Source organism: Homo sapiens, chromosome 1 (assembly GCF_000001405.40).
Source record: "Homo sapiens chromosome 1, GRCh38.p14 Primary Assembly".
NCBI lineage: Eukaryota > Metazoa > Chordata > Mammalia > Primates > Hominidae > Homo > Homo sapiens.
The window spans coordinates 49,366,918-49,384,697 of record NC_000001.11 but is presented as its reverse complement, the minus strand read 5'-3'; the positions used below and the strand labels follow the sequence as shown (position 1 = coordinate 49,384,697).

Here is a 17,780-nt window from a genome sequence, read left to right as displayed (position 1 = left end):
GTATTGTGGTTTTGACTTGCATTTCTCTGGTGATAATGAGAGTAAACATCTTTTCATATGCCTGTTGGCTTTTGTTTGCTTTGTTTTTGTTTGTTTGTTTGTTTTTAGATGGAGTCTCACTCTGTCACCCAGGCTGGAGTGCAGTGGTATAATCTTGACTCACTGCAACCTCCGCCTCCCAGGTTCCAGCAATTTTCCTGCCTCAGCCTCCCAAGTAGCTGGGCCTACAGGTGCACACCACCACACCCAGCTAATTTTTGTATTTTTTAGTAGAGACAGGGTTTCACCATATTGGTCAGGGTGGTCTCGAGCTCCTGACCTCATGATCCGCCCGCCTCGACCTCCCAAAATGCTGGGATTACAGGCATGAGCCACCGAGCCCAGCCGCCCATTTTTATATCTTCTTTTCACAATTGTCTCTTCCGAATTTTTGAATCCGAATTTTTTATCATTGAGTTTTAAGATTTTTAAAAATATGCTCTGTATATTAATTCCATATTAGATATATGGTTTGCAAACATTTTCTGCCATTCCATTGGTTGCCTTTTTTACTCCATTGATTGTTTCCTTTGCTGTGCAGAAGTTTTAAAATTTGATATAGTTGGCCGGGCATGGTGGCTCATGCCTATAGTCCCAGCACTTTGGGAGGCCGAGGTGGGCGGATCACAAGGTCAGGAAATCAAGACCATCCTGGCCAACGCAGTGAAACCCCGTCTCTACTAAAATACAAAAAATTAGCTGGGCGTAGTGGTACACAGCTGTAGTCCCAGCTATTCAGGAGGCTGAGGCAGGGGAATCGCCTGAATCTGGGAGGCGGCGGTCGCAATGAGCCAAGATCACGCCACTGTACTCCAGCCTGGCAACAGAGCAAGACACCATCTCAAAAAAAAAAAATATATATATATACAGTCTCATTTGTTTATTTTTTCTTTTTTGCTTTTGTTATCTGTGCCAGAAATCGCTGCTGAATACAATATTATTAAACTTTTCCTGTATGTTTTCTAGGAGTTTTATAGTTTCAGATCTTACATTTAGATCTTTAATTCATTTTGAGTTAATTTTTGGATATAGTGTGACATAAGTGTCCAATCTCATTTTTTTACATGTGGATATACAGTTTTCTCAACACCAGTAATTGAAGAAACTGTACTTTCCCCATTGTGCAGCCTTGACACTCATGTCAAAGCCAGTTGACCATATATGTGAGGGTTTATTTTGGGGCTCTCTATCCTGTCCCATTTTTCTAAATGTCTGTCTTTATGCTAGTATCATACTGTGTTCATCACTGTAGTTTTGTAATATGTTTGAATTCAGAAAGTGTCAGGCTTTTAACTATGTTTTTTTTCCTCAAGATTATTTTGGCCATTCAGTCTTATGAGATATTATATGAATTTTAGGTTTTCTTTGTATTTCTGCAAAATAATGAAAAATGTCATTGTGATCACAATGATTGCATTGAATCTGTAGATAAATCTGTAGGTCACTTTGAGTAGTACAGACATTTTAGTAATATTAAGTTTTCCAATCCATGAACATGGGACATTTTTCATCTTTAATTTCTTTCAGCAATGCTTTGTAGTTTTTAGTATACACATCTTTTGCCTCTTTGGTTAAATTCATTCATAAGAGTTTTATTATTTATGTTGCTACTGTAAAGAGGATTATTATCTTAAATTCCATTTTGGATTGTTCATTGATAATGTATAGAAATGCAACTGCTTTTTTGAAAAGGGTCTTGCTATGTTGTCCAGGCTGGATTTGAACTCATGGGCTAAGGTGATCTTTCCACATCAGCCTTCCAAGTAGCTGGGACTATAAGCATGTAACACCATGCTGCACTCACAACTGATTTTTGTTTGTGTGTTGATTTTGTATCTGCAACTTTGCTAAATTTTTTTATTACCTCTAAAAGGTTTTTAATTGGAAACTCTTAAGGTCTTTACATGTAAGATCATGCTCTCTGTGAACAGAGATACTTTTCTTTTTTCCTTTACAAGTTGGATGCCTTTTATTTTACTTTTTCTTGGCTAATTACTCTGACTAGGACTTCCAGTACTGTATTGAATAGAAGTGGCAAGAGTAGGCATTCTTGCCTTGTTCCTAATTTTAGAGGGAAAGCTTTCAGGCTTTCACTATTGAGAATAATGTTAGATGTGGGTTTTTCATATATGACCTTTATGTTGAGGTAACTTCCTTCTATTCCCAGTTTGTTGACTTTTTTTTTCATCATGAAAGGGTATTGAATTTTGTCAAAAAATTTTTTTTCTCTATCAACTGAATTGATCGTGTAGTTTCCCCCCTTCATTTTTTCAATATGGTGTATTATACTGATTGCTTTTTATATGTTGAACTATCCTTGTATTCTATGATGCATTGCCTAACTTATAATGTGCATTTGGTAAACAATGAAATGCTTGGGCTCAAATCTTGATGAAGTAAAAATAAACAAAAGCCTTTCTATTTCTTATCTTGTTCTCGTTCTTGTTCCTGTTATTATTACTATTTTGCATCAGTTACAATGCCAAGTATGTCAGGAGATAAATAAAAGTAAATGGAAATTTACTTCTCAGTGCCTAGTGGAAGTCTTTTTTATCCATACTAGAAATGTTCATGTGGATCAGCCTGAATACTGTTGTGTGAAAGTCCTGAGTGTTTCAGTGGCTACAGGAACTGTATTTTTTTTTATTTTTATTTTATTATTATTATACTTTAAGTTTTAGGGTACATGTGCACAATGTGCAGGTTAGTTACATATGTATACATGTGCCATGCTGGTGTGCTGCACCGATTAACTCGTCATTTAGCATTAGGTATATATCCTAAAGCTATCCCTCCCCCCTTCCCCCACCCCACCACAGTCCCCAGAGTGTGATGTTCCCCTTCCAGTGTCCATGTGTTCTCATTGTTCAATTCCCACCTATGAGTGAGAATATACCGTGTTTGGTTTTTTGTCCTTGCGATAGTTTACTGAGAATGATGATTTCCAATTTCATCCATGTCCCTACAAAGGACATGAACTCATCATTTTTTATGGCTGCATAGTATTCCATGGTGTATATGTGCCACATTTTCTTAATCCAGTCTAATACTGTTAGACATTTGGGTTGGTTCCAAGTCTTTGCTATTGTGAATAACGCCGTAATAAACATATGTGTGCATGTGTCTTTATAGCAGCATGATTTATAATCCTTTGGGTATATACCCAGTAATGGGATGGCTGGGTCAAATGGTATTTCTAGTTCTAGATCCCTGAGGAATCACCACACTGACTTCCACAATGATTGAACTAGTTTACAGTCCCACCAACAGTGTCAAAGTGTTCCTATTTCTCCACATCCTCTCCAGCACCTGTTGTTTCCTGACTTTTTAGTGATCGCCATTCTAACTGGTGTGAGATGATATCTCATTGTGGTTTTGATTTGCATTTCTCTGATGGCCAGTGATGGTGAGCATTTTTTCATGTGTTTTTTGGCTGCATAAATGTCTTCTTTTGAGAAGTGTCTGTTCATATCCTTTGCCCACTTTTTGATGGGGTTGTTTGTTTTTTTCTTGTAAATTTGTTTGAGTTCTTTGTAGATTCTGGATATTAGCCCTTTGTCAGATGAGTAGGTTGCGAAAATTTTCTCCCATGTTGTAGGTTGCCTGTTCACTCTGATGGTAGTTTCTTTTGCTGCACAAAAGCTCTTGAGTTTAATTAGATCCCATTTGTCGATTTTGTCTTTTGTTGCCATTGCTTTTGGTGTTTTAGACATGAAGTCCTTGCCCATGCGTATGTCCTGAATGGTAATGCCTAGGTTTTCTTCTTGGGTTTTTATGGTTTTAGGTCTAACATTTAAGTCTTTAATCCATCTTGAATTAATTTTTGTATAAGGTGTAAGGAAGGGATCCAGTTTCAGCTGTCTACATATGGCTAGCCAGTTTTCCCAGCACCATTTATTAAATAGGGAATCCTTTCCCCATTGCTTGTTTTTCTCAGGTTTGTCAAAGATCACATAGTTGCAGATATGTGGCATTATTTCTGAGGGCTCTGTTCTGTTCCATTGATCTATATCTCTGTTTTGGTACCAGTACCATGCTGTTTTGGTTACTATAGCCTTGTAGTATAGTTTGAAGTCAGGTAGCGTGATGCCTCCAGCTTTGTTCTTTTGGCTTAGGATTGACTTGGCGATGCGGGCTCTTTTTTGGTTCCATATGAACTTTAAAGTAGTTTTTTCCAATTCTGTGAAGAAAGTCATTGGTAGCTTGATGGGGATGGCATTGAATCTATAAATTATCTTGGGCAGTATGGCCCTTTTCATGATATTGATTCTTCCTACCCATGAGCATGGAATGTTCTTCCATTTCTTTGTATCCTCTTTTATTTCATTAAGCAGTGGTTTGTAGTTCTCCATGTCTTCACGTCCCTTGTAAGTTGGATTCCTAGGTATTTTATTCTCTTTGAAGCAACTGTGAATGGGAGTTCACTCATGATTTGGCTCTCTGTTTGGCTGTTATTGGTGTATAAGAATGCTTGTGATTTTTGTACATTGATTTTGTATCCTGAGACTTTGCTGAAGTTGCTTATCAGCTTAAGGAGATTTTGGGCTGAGCCAATGGGGTTTTCTAGATATACAATCATGTCGTCTGCAAACAGGGACAACTTGACTTCCTCTTTTCCTAATTGAATACCCTTTATTTCCTTCTCCTGCCTAATTTCCCTGGCCAGAACTTCCAACACTATGTTGAATAGGAGTGGTGAGAGAGGGCATCCCTGTCTTAGGCCAGTTTTCAAAGGGAATGCTTCCAATCCTCCCTGACTCATTTTATGAGGCCAGCATCATCCTGATACCAAAGCCGGGCAGAGACACAACCAAAAAAGAGAATTTTAGACCAATATCCTTGATGAACATTGATGCAAAAATCCTCAATAAAATACTGGCAAACTGAATCCAGCAGCACATCAAAAAGCTTATCCACCATGATCAAGTGGGCTTCATCCCTGGGATGCAAGGCTGGTTCAATATACACAAATCAATAAATGTAATCCAGCATATAAAAAGAACCAAAGACAAAAACCACATGATTATCTCAATAGATGCAGAAAAGGCCTTTGACAAAATTCAACAACGCTTCATGCTAAAAACTCTCAATAAATTAGGTATTGATGGGACATATCTCAAAATAATAAGAGCTATCTATGACAAACCCACAGCCAATATCATACTGAAGGGGAGCTGTATTTTAAAATGGGTATGTGCTGATGTCGAAGAAAGATGCAGCAGTGTTATCCCAAGACATGTAGCCAAAACGGGCATGGATTCCCATTCTGTGCCAGGCAGTTCTATGCTGCATTAAATAAGACATAAACTCTGCTATTAAGAAAGCATCTATCTAATTGGTGAGGTAAGAATGCACATATAACAATTCATACAAACCATTCTAGGCAATGTGTGGTAGTTTCCCAAGAGAAAGAAAATTACAAAGTGGGGAATGATAGAAGATCAGGGATGACATCATCAAGGCAGTGGTATATTTTCACTGAGCTTTTCAGGATGAGAATTCTGATTGTGAAGAAGCCTCAGCCTGCAAATGCTCTTGAGTTTAGACCCCCTGATGCTTCCACACTATACTAGGGCATACAAATTTCGCATTTGTCTAGTCTTCATAGGCCTACCACATTTTCCTTATCCAGAGGCCTCAGTCCTCTTCCAGTTTGATATATGGGTATAGAGTGGTGGTGGCCACAATGATGTGCTGCTCATACCTTCCTTTTAAAAAAAACCTTCTCTGGAGAGAATCATTAACAGTGAACTTCTGGGTAACACACCAGACCACACATACTTCGGGCTACTCCCAGCCAATGACTGAGTATGGTAAGGGTAATAGAGCTGGACCATTACTACTCAGTGAGGGAAACTTCTAACAGGCAACTTGTGCTCAGATTTCCCATTGGCCTGGCTGAAACTTTCTCTGAACTACATCACAGTCTGGGGCTTTTCCTACAGAAGCCTTCCTTTCTTCTCTCCTTTCGCAGGTGACAGACTTGTAACGCTGTCTGAAAGCTCACCTTGCCTACTCTTGCTCCTTCCTTCTTATTCTTAATGTGCAGTTATTCCTAAAACTCTCTAGCACATCTAATGCTATCTTTTTTTTTCTTGCCAAATGACCCAAACTGATAAACATGGAAACCCACTGCTCCCTCTCACCAGGGTTCTCTCTCTCATTCCTTACCTCAAATCAGTGGTCTCTCTCCTCGGATACTATTCCTAGTGTAATCTCCTCAACAGTGTTAGGTTTTCACAGTGGTACTTAGAGGTAGACACTATTATTTATACTTTTTAGATGAAGACATTTAAGATGAGATAGATTAAGAGGTGGGATATAGATTACGTCCCCAGATCACAAAGAAAATATGTGGCCAGGCTGGTAGTTGAACTCTTTTTGTGAAACATAAAATCCTGTACTCCCCAACCCCCATCCTGCAACATTTTTTCTTTTTAAGGTCTTATTCATGGATGGAGTATCTTCATATATGTTACTTGTACAATTCAAAAATCCTCACACTCAGAAGGGCCTTACATTTGTTTCAATGTTGTCGTGAAATTCTCCATCAGGGCCAGACAGGAAGTTTGTGTTGGGAGACAAGGCATGAAGTTTGTGTTGGGAGACATGGCATGAAGTTTGTGTTGGGAGACAAGGCATGAAGTTTGTGTTGGGAGACAAGGCATGAAGTTTGTGTTGGGAGACAAGGCATGTAAGATGTACATATCTTACATTTTTATGTGTCTCACAAGCATGGAACTGATTGCCTTTGTTTCAGACTGTCTTTTCAGGGTGTTTGTAGAGTGATCATTCCTGGTAGAGAGAATACTATATCCCTCTGGAGCCAGGTACAGGTGTGCTTACATCCAGTTTAAAACATTTGAATTATCTTAGCTCAGGATTCTCACCAGTAACGAAATTCATGCTGTATGCGCCTGGCCCTCTTTGCATTGCTTCTTAGTATTTGGGGCTCAGGAAAACGAATATAAAAGCTGATATTCTACCTACTGCTATTGCTATAAGTCTTTTGTGACCCAGGAGTCTTGTATCTTCTCCTAGTATCCATGAAACTATAGGAGGTTATTTTGCTAGCTTGCATGTAGGATAAAATATCAGACTCTTCATGGTTCTTAACAGTTTGAAGGTAGTAGGGAATGACATGTGAAGATTCTTCCCTGTGTTAAAAGCAAAAGAGCACTATACTTAAAGCCAGACAGTCATAGATTTGAATCTTTGCTTTGCCACTTACTAGCTGGGTGTCCATGAATAAGTTACTTAACATTTTTGGAAGTAATTTTCTCTTTGGTAATATAATAATATCAGCTTCAGTAGGTTGATGGAAGAATTAAAAGAGATAAGAATTATTTCAATGCCACTAATGCAGAGCTTGGAACATAGAAGGCACATAGTACATAATTACTGTCCTGATTTTTCTAGTCTCATAGTTTTGTGTCACTCTCATTTCTAAATGCTTCCTTTATTTTAGCCCCCATCTCCTTCAAGATGGGGGAAAGTAGGTGTTCATATGATATTTAACTGTTTTATATTCACTTACCAACAAAAGTTTTCTTTTACTTTTCCTCTCTCATACCTACTCCGGAAATTTTTACTTCATTTTCTTTTAAGAAAAGTTGAATTCAAGTAGTATATATGAGTTATCTTCTCTTCACCAGAAGCAGAGGATGTAGAGATAATATAGACTTACTTATTACTTTCAAGTAAACATTCATCAAACATTTATTGAACACTTAAAATATTCTGGGCACCATTCTAATTGCTGGGTAAGCAGCATAAACAATATGGGCGAGGTCCTTTCTCTAAGAGAATTTATGTTTTATCATGACAATTAAAATCCAATGTGGTAAGTATGTGATAACAATACAAGTAGGGATCTGGGACAACAATTAACTCTGTAGGCTAGCCATGGGGATTTCTGGGAAGATCCCCTCTAAAATGATCTTAAAGATTGAGAGATTAGTTGGGTGAGGAAGGTTTGTCATCAGAGTCAACAGAAGACATATATCATACCAAAAAAGTAACTGAATAGAGTTTAATAAAGAGACTGTTTACAAATATTAGTTCAGGTTTAAGAGAATCATCAGGGATGAAGGAGCATCCAGGGACTGGCAATAGTAAAAGCTGTTTCCACCCCAAATACTGAAGGGATAAGGGGAGGAAGCTCTTACTAGAGTCTTGGAAGAACTGTAACAACTCTTTTATGTGGCCTTGTGAAGGTAGGACAGAATAAGTATCCTACCTCTTTCTTTTCCTGCTCTCCAATCTCCCACCAGTGCTTTTCATTGGCCAAATCTAGATAGGAAGAGAAGAAAGGATAGGGGGTCCTACATGATGTCATCTGTAGAGGTTAACCTCCCAGCCTCCCAGGATACAAGCAGGCTGAGAGGAGTACAAAATAGATCTGGAAGGGCAGTGAACAACTAACATGAAAAGGGAATAAAGGTGTTCCAGACTGAGGCAATAGCACCAAGGCATAAAGGTATGAAATGGTGGGTACAGGAGCACCAAATAGTGGTTTACTAGAGTTTGCAGCAAGAATGGAGCTGCAGAGGTAGGTGGAGTTAAGATGTAGAGGGATTTAAAATGCCATGCTGAGACTCTTAATCTTTTCATACAATATACAGGCAGACATTGCTGAAGGAATCAAAGAAATAACACAGATTTTTTGTTTTAGAAAGCTAGCTCTTCTGGGGAGTGAGAGTGGGATCTTGGGAGACATTTCTTTTCCTGGACAGTGTAAGGGCATGGGCTAAGGAGAGAGGCAATGTCATCAGAAGTAAGAAAGGTCAGACTCTGTCGAGAAAGGCAGAGAAGGCCTTGCGTGAAATAGCCTCATTGAGTGGCATTCTTTTTTATCCTTTCTTGAACTGTATATGGAATCTTTTGTGAAGCAGGATAGAACTGGCCTTGAAGCTACCTTTCTTCTGATAATCACTTTCCTGTGAAGAAATGATGAATTGTGCTTTGTCCATATTTCTTCAAATATTGCTTCTGTAACCTTCCCTTAAACACATTCCCAAGAGCAGTCTCTTTCATTAAGATGAGGCCATTTTGCTTCTTTGGTTTTGCTGGAAATGTCCAAAAAGGAAATGCATTTACATTTCCTTCTTGTCCTAAGAGTCATTATGTATTAATAGAATGTCTACATGCAGATAAGCTCTGGGTTCCTTTGTCCTACAGGAAGGCATCAAAGGGCACCGTGACTTTTAAAGCAATCTTTCAAGGTTGGTAAAGGTGGCCTTTAGAAAAAAAAATCATCACTTCTCAGAAATCACATCCCATGAGCAGTTTTATTCATTTATCCAGTTGACAGGCAGTAGTGTCATGGGAAAGGATAAATGGCACTTTCTATAACTGGATATGCAAGACACAATGAGCCATGTATAGGAATCAGGGTAGAGGACACTTGGGACTTTCCCCCATATGCTTCTACCCACTGACAACCTTCTTAAGGGCAGGTATCATGTCTGAATCATATCATTATTCTCACAGGCCCCAAGCAAAAGCAGTTGTTCAGAATTGTTTTACAAACGAATGTAGTTTTCCAGGCCATGGAAATAGCCTATGCAAAGGTCCAGAGGCATGAAAGAGCATAGTTCATGTAAGAAAATGCAAGTAATTTGATAACACTGAAGAAAAGAGTGTTTTGGAGGGAAAGAGAGAGGTTGGTCAAAGGTAAAGCAATAGAAATAGATGGAAATAGAATTGCCTTTGCCATAACATTTTATCGAGAAGTGTAAACTTGATCTTATAGTTACTGGGAAGCTACTGGATAGGTTTAACTGTAGGTATGACATGGTCAACTAAAAGATTTAGAAAGACCATTCTGACTTTAGTGTAAAGAATGAAAGTGATTACTGAAGGTTTAGGAAGGAGGTTAGTGACATAGCCTGTTTTGTGCTAGTGGCAGTGAGTATAGAACTAGGTGTTTGGGTATAAGCAATATATAGGAAATCTAGTGGCTGGTGGGGATATTAAGATGTAAATGATGAAGGTAAAAAAGAAAAGAAGGGTCAAGGATGATTCCTACTCGACTAAATTCTTTGAGAGCACTACATTTGACTCAGTCTTACATTCCAAATTATAGGTGTATCCTCTCCTGTGCATTGACAGAGTGGTCACTCAAGGAATGTTTCCTGAGTGTTAAATGAGGGGCTTTGGAAAGGGACCAGTGAGAAGCAAGTCTAGGAGCATTTCTGAGGCAGGAAATTATGGACGGAGATGGTACAGGTGAATATATCTTGGAGCCAAGTTGGTGGAGAAAGCATCAAATGCCCCTGATTACAACCAAGGTTTTTTGTTTTTTTTTTTTAGGATTCTGAAGAGTAGGAATGAAGCTGAAGAGTAGAAGTAGAATCTGAAAAAGTAGGACAACTGGCTTCGGATATAGAAGCATTATCTGAGCTCAGTAATTTTTTTTCAAAGAAAAAAGCATGAATAAATACATGTGTGAAACCTAAAACTTTTGAAGTGATAGAGTATTAACAGGGAAACTACTCATTTGACTCAGGCCCACTACTACCCTGGAAAATACTGGAACATGTCAAGATTATTTTTTAAATTAGTTAATACATCTAAAGGGAGTTGCACAGTGCCTGATTCATGGTAGTACTCAATATCAGATAGTTGTTGATGTTATTTTATGATTTTGATTGAGAAACATAATATAATTTTATGTATAGTATAAATAAAATTAAAAAGCATGCCTTCAATTCAAAACACAATCTGAACTGAGGCAAGGTTTGGAGAAGCTTTGACCCAATACCATATACCGGGCCACTTGTCATCATGATAGGCTACCCTTAAAAATGTGGTATAAACCTGTAAAAGAAAAATGGTTCTGGAGTATTTTCTCCTCCTCTAAAAAGATTCCTGGAGATATTTTTTTAATAGTGTCTTATCCTGGACTTTGGAGTCAGACAGAATTGGGTATAAATCCCAGATCTACCTGTTTCTCTTCCTGAGAACTTTGAATAATTATATAACTTTTCCAAATCTCAATTTTTTTCTCCATAAAATGAGGATAGTAATATGTACATATAAAAGCCATAACAAATTTATTTTGAACTGTTTTGTACTATTGCCCTTTGTTTTGCCCTCTATGTTAACCTATTTACCTTCTTCTTCCAGAATTGTTTCTTTAAAAATGTTCCTGTTTTTCTCAGTTCCAATATTATGGCCTATTTTCTAGCATTTTATTAGTGAGTCCTCTGCTCTTTCTTAGGACTTAGCTTGGGCAGAAAACCCATTGTTTTAAATTATAGGGGCAAATCCCTGCCTGAATTATCGCAGGCATGTTTTGGGGTTACTCCTCATGGAGATATCAGTTCTACTTAATTTATTAAGCATCTATTGGTCATATACCACATACCAGGCCATGAGTTAAGTGATAGGAGAATAGAAATGAATAAAGTACGGTTTTTGCTCACAAAGAGTTCTCAGTTTAATGGGTGAACAAAATATTTAAATATCTAAATAACTGTTATACAGGACAAAGTGGGAGAGTTGTATTCAGAGAGATACAGAGTGTAGAAGGTAGTAGTTAATTCTTAGTGTATGAACTGGAAGAACTTTGTGAAGGCAATGAAATACTGAACTGGGGCTGGGCACAGTGGCTCACGCCTATAATCCCAGCATTTTGGGAAGGTGACCCAGGAGGATCACTTGAGCCCCGGAGTTCAAAACCAGCCTAGGCAACATAGTGAGATCCCATCTCTACTAAAAATACAGGAATTAGCTGGACATGGTGGTGAGAGCCTATAGTCCCAGCTACTCAGGAAGCTGAGGCAGGAAGATTGCTTGAGCCCAGGAGGTTGAGGCTTCAGTGAGCCAAGATTATGCCACTGCACTCCAGCCTAGGAAATAGAGGGAAACCATGTCTCAAAAAATAAAAGAAAAGAAAGAGAGAGAGAGAGAAGAGAGAGAGGGAAAGAAAGAAAGAGAGAGAGAGAAAGAAAAAGAAAGAAAGAGAAAGAAAGAGAAAGAAAGAAAGAAAGAAAGAAAGAAAGAAAGAAAGAAAGAAAGAAAGAAAGAAAGAAAGAAAGAAAGAAAAAGAAAAAGAAAAGAAAGAAAGAAAGATTGAACTGGGCTTTAAAGGATGAACTGAATTTCAATAAACAGTGATCAGTAGCAGGGAAAATAGAAGGTAAGTTCGGGTCATGGGTAGAGCAGCATGAACAAAGTTCCCAAGATTGGAGGGATTGGTAGGAGGCTTTATGGGAAAGGAATTTGAAAAGATAATGTGGAATAAGAACTTTAAATGGCTTGCTAAGGAGCTTGTGTATTATACTGTAAGTCACAAGAGTGACTGAACTGACATGGATGAAAAATAAGCCCCAGAATAGGATTCGAGCAAGGACTTCACAGAAGAGATTGTTACTTACTATATAGACTCTTTTATGCTCAACTATGTTTTAACCGAGATAAAAAACTAGTTTTTGTTTTTAACATGAGCCTTGAGCGTTCTGGGATGCATACTGCATGCTCAAAATGGAAAACATTGCTCATTTATTAATTATTAAAACCCACCACTCAAAACATCAGCCTTTCTGTAATGTCTTCTAAGCAGGATATGCCACCCATTTATCAAAAATCTAGATTCTGAAATAGGATTTTTTTTACCTCCTATGATACCATGAATTTACTAGATGTAATCAATTTCATTATCCTCCAGTATATTTTTCATCGAAGTTTGTTCCAGTAGAAAGAAATATGTAAGGAACATTTGGTATTGCTTTTCCTTTTGGAGGTCTGAGACACCATCAGGGTTACAATAGAGGTGTCTATTTAAACACACACACACACACACACACACACACACACACACACACACACACACACAGAGTTTGAAAAGTCACTGGCTCTGACTGACACACAATGATAATTTCCAAGAAAATGGTATCCAGATGCTTTGAAATCGAAGTTCTGCAGTCTTCTGCATTATCCCATTCTACCTAGAATTTTATAACATATACGGGGATAGAGATACACTCTAGAGGGCCAGGAAAGGGTGACTAAAATTGCAAAGATTTTGTCATGTGAGGAACAGCCAAACAACCTAGAAGTGTTTTCTTAGAGAAGCAAAGTGTTAGGGAGGTATATGTAATTCTGCTGTTTAATGATGGAGTAAGAGGATTAAATGAGTTTACTGCACTCCCACTAAAAAAGACTAAAAATAGTGGGACAAGTGCAGCTTTAATCATTTATAAAATATTTCTTGAGTACAAACTATGTGTGACGTATGTACAGTTGTAAAACAACAAGCATACTACCTCCCCTCCAAAGCTTATTTTCTAGCAGAGGAGATAGCAAGTAAACATATATACTAGCCAGGATTCTCCAGAGAAACAGCCAAAAGGATGTGTGTGTGTGTATGTATGTATGTATGTATGTATGTATGTATGTATGTATCTATCTATCTATCTATCTATATATCTATCTATCTATCTTCTATCTATCTATCTAAAGAGATTCATTATATAGAATTGGCTCATACAATTAGAGGCTGGCAGTCTGGAGAGCCAATGGTGTAATTCCATTTTGAAGGCCAGTAGCCTGGGTGCCCAGGGGAGCCTGTGGTGCAATTCTGGTCCAAAAACTGGCTGATGGTGATGCACAAGAGCTGATGGTACAGGTGAAATCTGAAACTAGTCTTTTAAAGAATTCCCTCTTGGTGTAGGAGCATTTGGTGTTTTTGTTCTCTGTGGGCTTTCAACTGATTGGATGAGGCCCACCCACATTATGGAAGGTAATCTACGCAAAGTTCACTGACTTAAATGTTAACCTCATCTAACTCATCTCAAACCCTCCAAGTTGACAGTTCGAATTAACTATCACAACAGGCAGTTTGAAGGTATTGAAAATAGAAGCAGGAAGATCAGATCTCAGTGTTGTATTCTAAGCATTTTATATATTTTATCTCATAATGATACTGTTAGGTAAAATCTTGTATTAACCCCATTTGACAAATGAAGAACTGGAAGCACACAAGGATATTAAGTAACTTATTTAAGTGTGATAGATAAATTTATGTGTCAGTTGGCTAGGCTGTGGTGCAAATTGTTTGGTCAAACACTAGTCCAGATGTTGCTGTGAAGGTATTTTCTAGATGTGATTGGGATTTAACATCAATTAACTTTAAGTAAAGGAGGTTGCCCACAATAATTTGGGTGGTCCCCTTTTAATCCACTGAAGACCTTAAGAACAAAAAAGTGAGTTTCTGGAGATGAAGGAATTCAGCTCAAGACCATAACATAGAAATCCTGCCAGAATTTTTAGCCTGCTGGTCTGCCTGATGTATTTCAGACTCAAGACTGTGATTTCAATTCCTGCCTGAGTTTGTAGTCCACTGGCCTGCCCTGTATATTTTAAGTTTGCCAGCCTCCACTATAACGTGAGCCAGTTCCTTAAAATCAATCTCACTCTCTCTCTGCATATATATATTATGTGATATATATTTTATCCACACAGTTTATTGGCTCATACAATTATATATTATATATAATATATATATAATTATTATAATTTATAATATAAAATAATATATTATATATTGTAATTATATATATAATATCTAATTATATATGTGTGTGTGTGTGTTTATGTGATGATGGAGGCTGGCAGTGTGGGCAGGCAGGTAGGAGACCCAGGAAAGCCGATGTGCAGTTCTAATCTGAAGGCACTCTTCTTGCTCAAGGAGGGTGGTATTTTCATTCTATTTAAGCCTTTGACTGATTGGGTATGTCCCACCTTCATTATGGAGAATTTTTAAAGTCTTCATTTTCGTGAGCTTTATCTAAAGTTCACCAATGTAAATGTTAATTTCATCATAAGCACTCTCTAAGTTGACATATAAAATAAATCATCACAATTAGTAATATGAACTATTCCCAGCCGTGAACTCTGAGGATTTTTCTGCTTACTCCTTTCCAGTGTTTTTTTCCTCATCTTTGGTTAGTTTCCATATACCCATACACTGAGCAGTATTCAGGTGAAGATTTGAGAGGACCCTGTGAATTTTAGCAACTTTGTCCTACCTAAACTCCCAAATTTATCTTCTCAACTCAGAAGGATCCCCCAAATCCACTTGATTCACCTCTCTGTGCCAAGGCCTGGAAACATTCCCTTTAGATAATAAACTGGGTAATCATAGGGTCACCTTGTTTGTTTGCTGTCTTTCAGGGGTCACTGTTCTTTGCTGCCTTTTTTCTAGTATCTGAAAATGATTGTTTCATACATTTGCTTTAATTTTATGGTTGATTAAGACAAGAAGTTAAATCTATTCCCTGTTACACTGTTTGGCCAGAAGCAGAATTTCCTCTTCGTAAGATTTGCTTTGTAAAAAGGATTATGCTGTTATGAATAGTTTTTTAAAAGCTGACCTCTTGATGATTTCTAAAGATATCTAAAGGTTATGCTGGGATATTTATTAAATTTGTTTACTACCTTACAGATCTATCTAGTGAAGGAGCAGTAGTCTTGACTTCAGCAAACCTTTGTGTGCTGCTAATTTTGTGAGACTTTGAATAAATTACTTATCATCTCTTAACCTCACATTTTCTTTTTTCTCTTTTTCTGAGGCAGAGTCTTGCTCTGTTGCCCAGGCTGGAGTACAGTGGTGCTAGGTGCTACCTTGGCTCACCATAACCTCCGCCCCCACCAGGTTCAAGCGATTCTCCTGCCTCGGCCTCCTGAGTAGCTGGGAATACAGGCGTGTGCCACCATGCCTGGATAATTTTTTGTATTTTTATTAGAGATGGGTTTTGCCATGTTGCCCAGGCTGGTCTCAAACTCCTGCGTTCAAGTGATCCACCTGCCTCAGTCTCCTAAAGTGCTGGGATTACAGGCATGAGCCACCACACCCGGCCAGCCTCAATTTCTTCTAAGTATAGAATGGTAATTAAATATAATACTACCTGTGAAAATATCCAATGCATAGCAACATAAAAATATTAGACTGACTAAAAGAACCCACAGATTGCTTTGATAGGTGGGACAGAAAGAGCCAGGAATGTATTCCAGGGCTTCTCCTGGAGCTGTCAGAGAAGCCACAGTGCCTGGGCTTGAAAGGAGGCTTAGGTTTGTGGCCAAAAGTCCAGGATTTATAACCACAGAGACGTGGGTTTTGACAAGTTACTGAATCTCTCAGAGCCTTACTTTAATCTGTAAAAAAAATGATAATGGTAACTTCCTCATAGAAATTAATACAAGGATAACATGAGAAAAGGTGTATAAAGTGCTTTGTACATATAAATAAATACTTTTAAAAGATTAACCTCATAAACTGCTGGTGGGAACGTAAAAAAGTGTTTTCTATAGAAAACAGTTTAGTTGTTTAAAATAAGTTAAACATAAAATTCCATATTTCCCAGTGATTTCACTCCCAGGTATATACCCCCAAGAATTGAAAGCTGGTTTTCAAACAAAATCTTGTACACAGATGTTCAAAGCAGCTGTATTCACAATAGACAAAGGGTGGAAACAACCCCAGTGTCTATCAATGGATGAGTAAACAAAATGCAGCATATCCATATAGTAGAATATTATTCGGCCATAAAAGAATGACAGACTGATACATGCTACAACATGAATGAACCCTGAAAAATATGCAAAGTGAGGGAATCCAGACACAAAAGACTACATATTTATGATCTCGTTTTTATAAAATATTCATAATAGGCAAATCCATAGAGACAGAAAGCAGATTAGTGGTTGCCAATGGGTGGAGAGGAGTGGGGGCGATGAGGAATGAATACTTAATGTAGATGGGTTCTACTTTTGGGATGATTAATATGTTCTGGAACTAGATAGAGATGATGGTTGCACGACATTGTGAATGTCTTAGGTGCCACTGAATTGGTAAATAATTTAAAATGGTAAATTTATTTTGTGTGAATTCTACCACAATAAAAACATAAAAAGTGATTAATTAAGAAAAACATTTTTTTCTTCCTCCGTCGTAAGAACCCAAACATCTAGGATCATGTCAGTACAATTCATTGACCAGGGAAGACTTTGGCTTGCACACGATGGTGGGATCTTTGGAACAAGTTCTGCCCCTGTCCAAGCCTGGTTCTTTCAGCCAGTGTATCAGTCTACTTTGTGTTACTATAAAGGGATACCTGAGGCTGAGTAATTTCTAAAGAAAAAAGGTTTACTTGACTCACAGTTTTGCAAGCTATACATGAAGCATAGCACAAACATGTACTTCTGGTCAGGACCTCAGGAAGCTTACACTTATGGCAGATGGCAAGAGAAGCCAGTGGATCACATGAAGAGAGAGGGAGCAAGAGAGAGGGGAGGAAGTGCCAGGATCTTTTTAACATTTAGATCTCACATGAAGTAATAGCATGATAAATCACTTATTACCATGGGAAGGATGCCAAGCCATTCATAAAGGGTCTACCCCCATGACCCAAATACCTCCCACCAGTTTCTTCCAACATTAGAGATCACATTTCAACATGAGATTTGGAGGGGATAAATCCAAGCTGTATCACTATATCAGCCAGTGACATGCACTGCTTTTTGTTTGTTTCTTTGTTTGTTTGTTTCATTAGTCATTATCCATCCTGTTTTGTGCTGGACCTAGGCAGCTTCCAGATGTCAGATGGGAAAATTGCAAGTTATCATGCATGCCAAAGCCTAGCATTCAGAAAGGTATAAATGTCTATGTCTGTGCCTCACCTAGCTTGTCTTGCCTCTGCCATTCCAAGTAGAATGTCAGTTTTCTCTCAGAGCCT

At 38.1% G+C, this 17,780-nt stretch overlaps 1 protein-coding gene and 1 long non-coding RNA gene across 11 annotated transcripts in view; both read left to right on the top strand.

Annotated features, from left to right (window-relative positions):
• AGBL4-IT1 (AGBL4 intronic transcript 1) overlaps positions 1 to 10,497 on the top strand; it is a 97,885-nt gene extending 87,388 nt beyond the window's left edge. The window contains exon 4 of the long non-coding RNA NR_046839.1: positions 10,354 to 10,497. This is a non-coding gene — a long non-coding RNA (AGBL4 intronic transcript 1). The remainder of the gene's footprint in view (positions 1 to 10,353) is intronic.
• Positions 1 to 17,780, top strand: part of AGBL4 (AGBL carboxypeptidase 4) — a 1,501,444-nt gene that overhangs the window by 639,257 nt on the left and 844,407 nt on the right. The gene's annotated exons all lie outside the window — the stretch shown is intronic.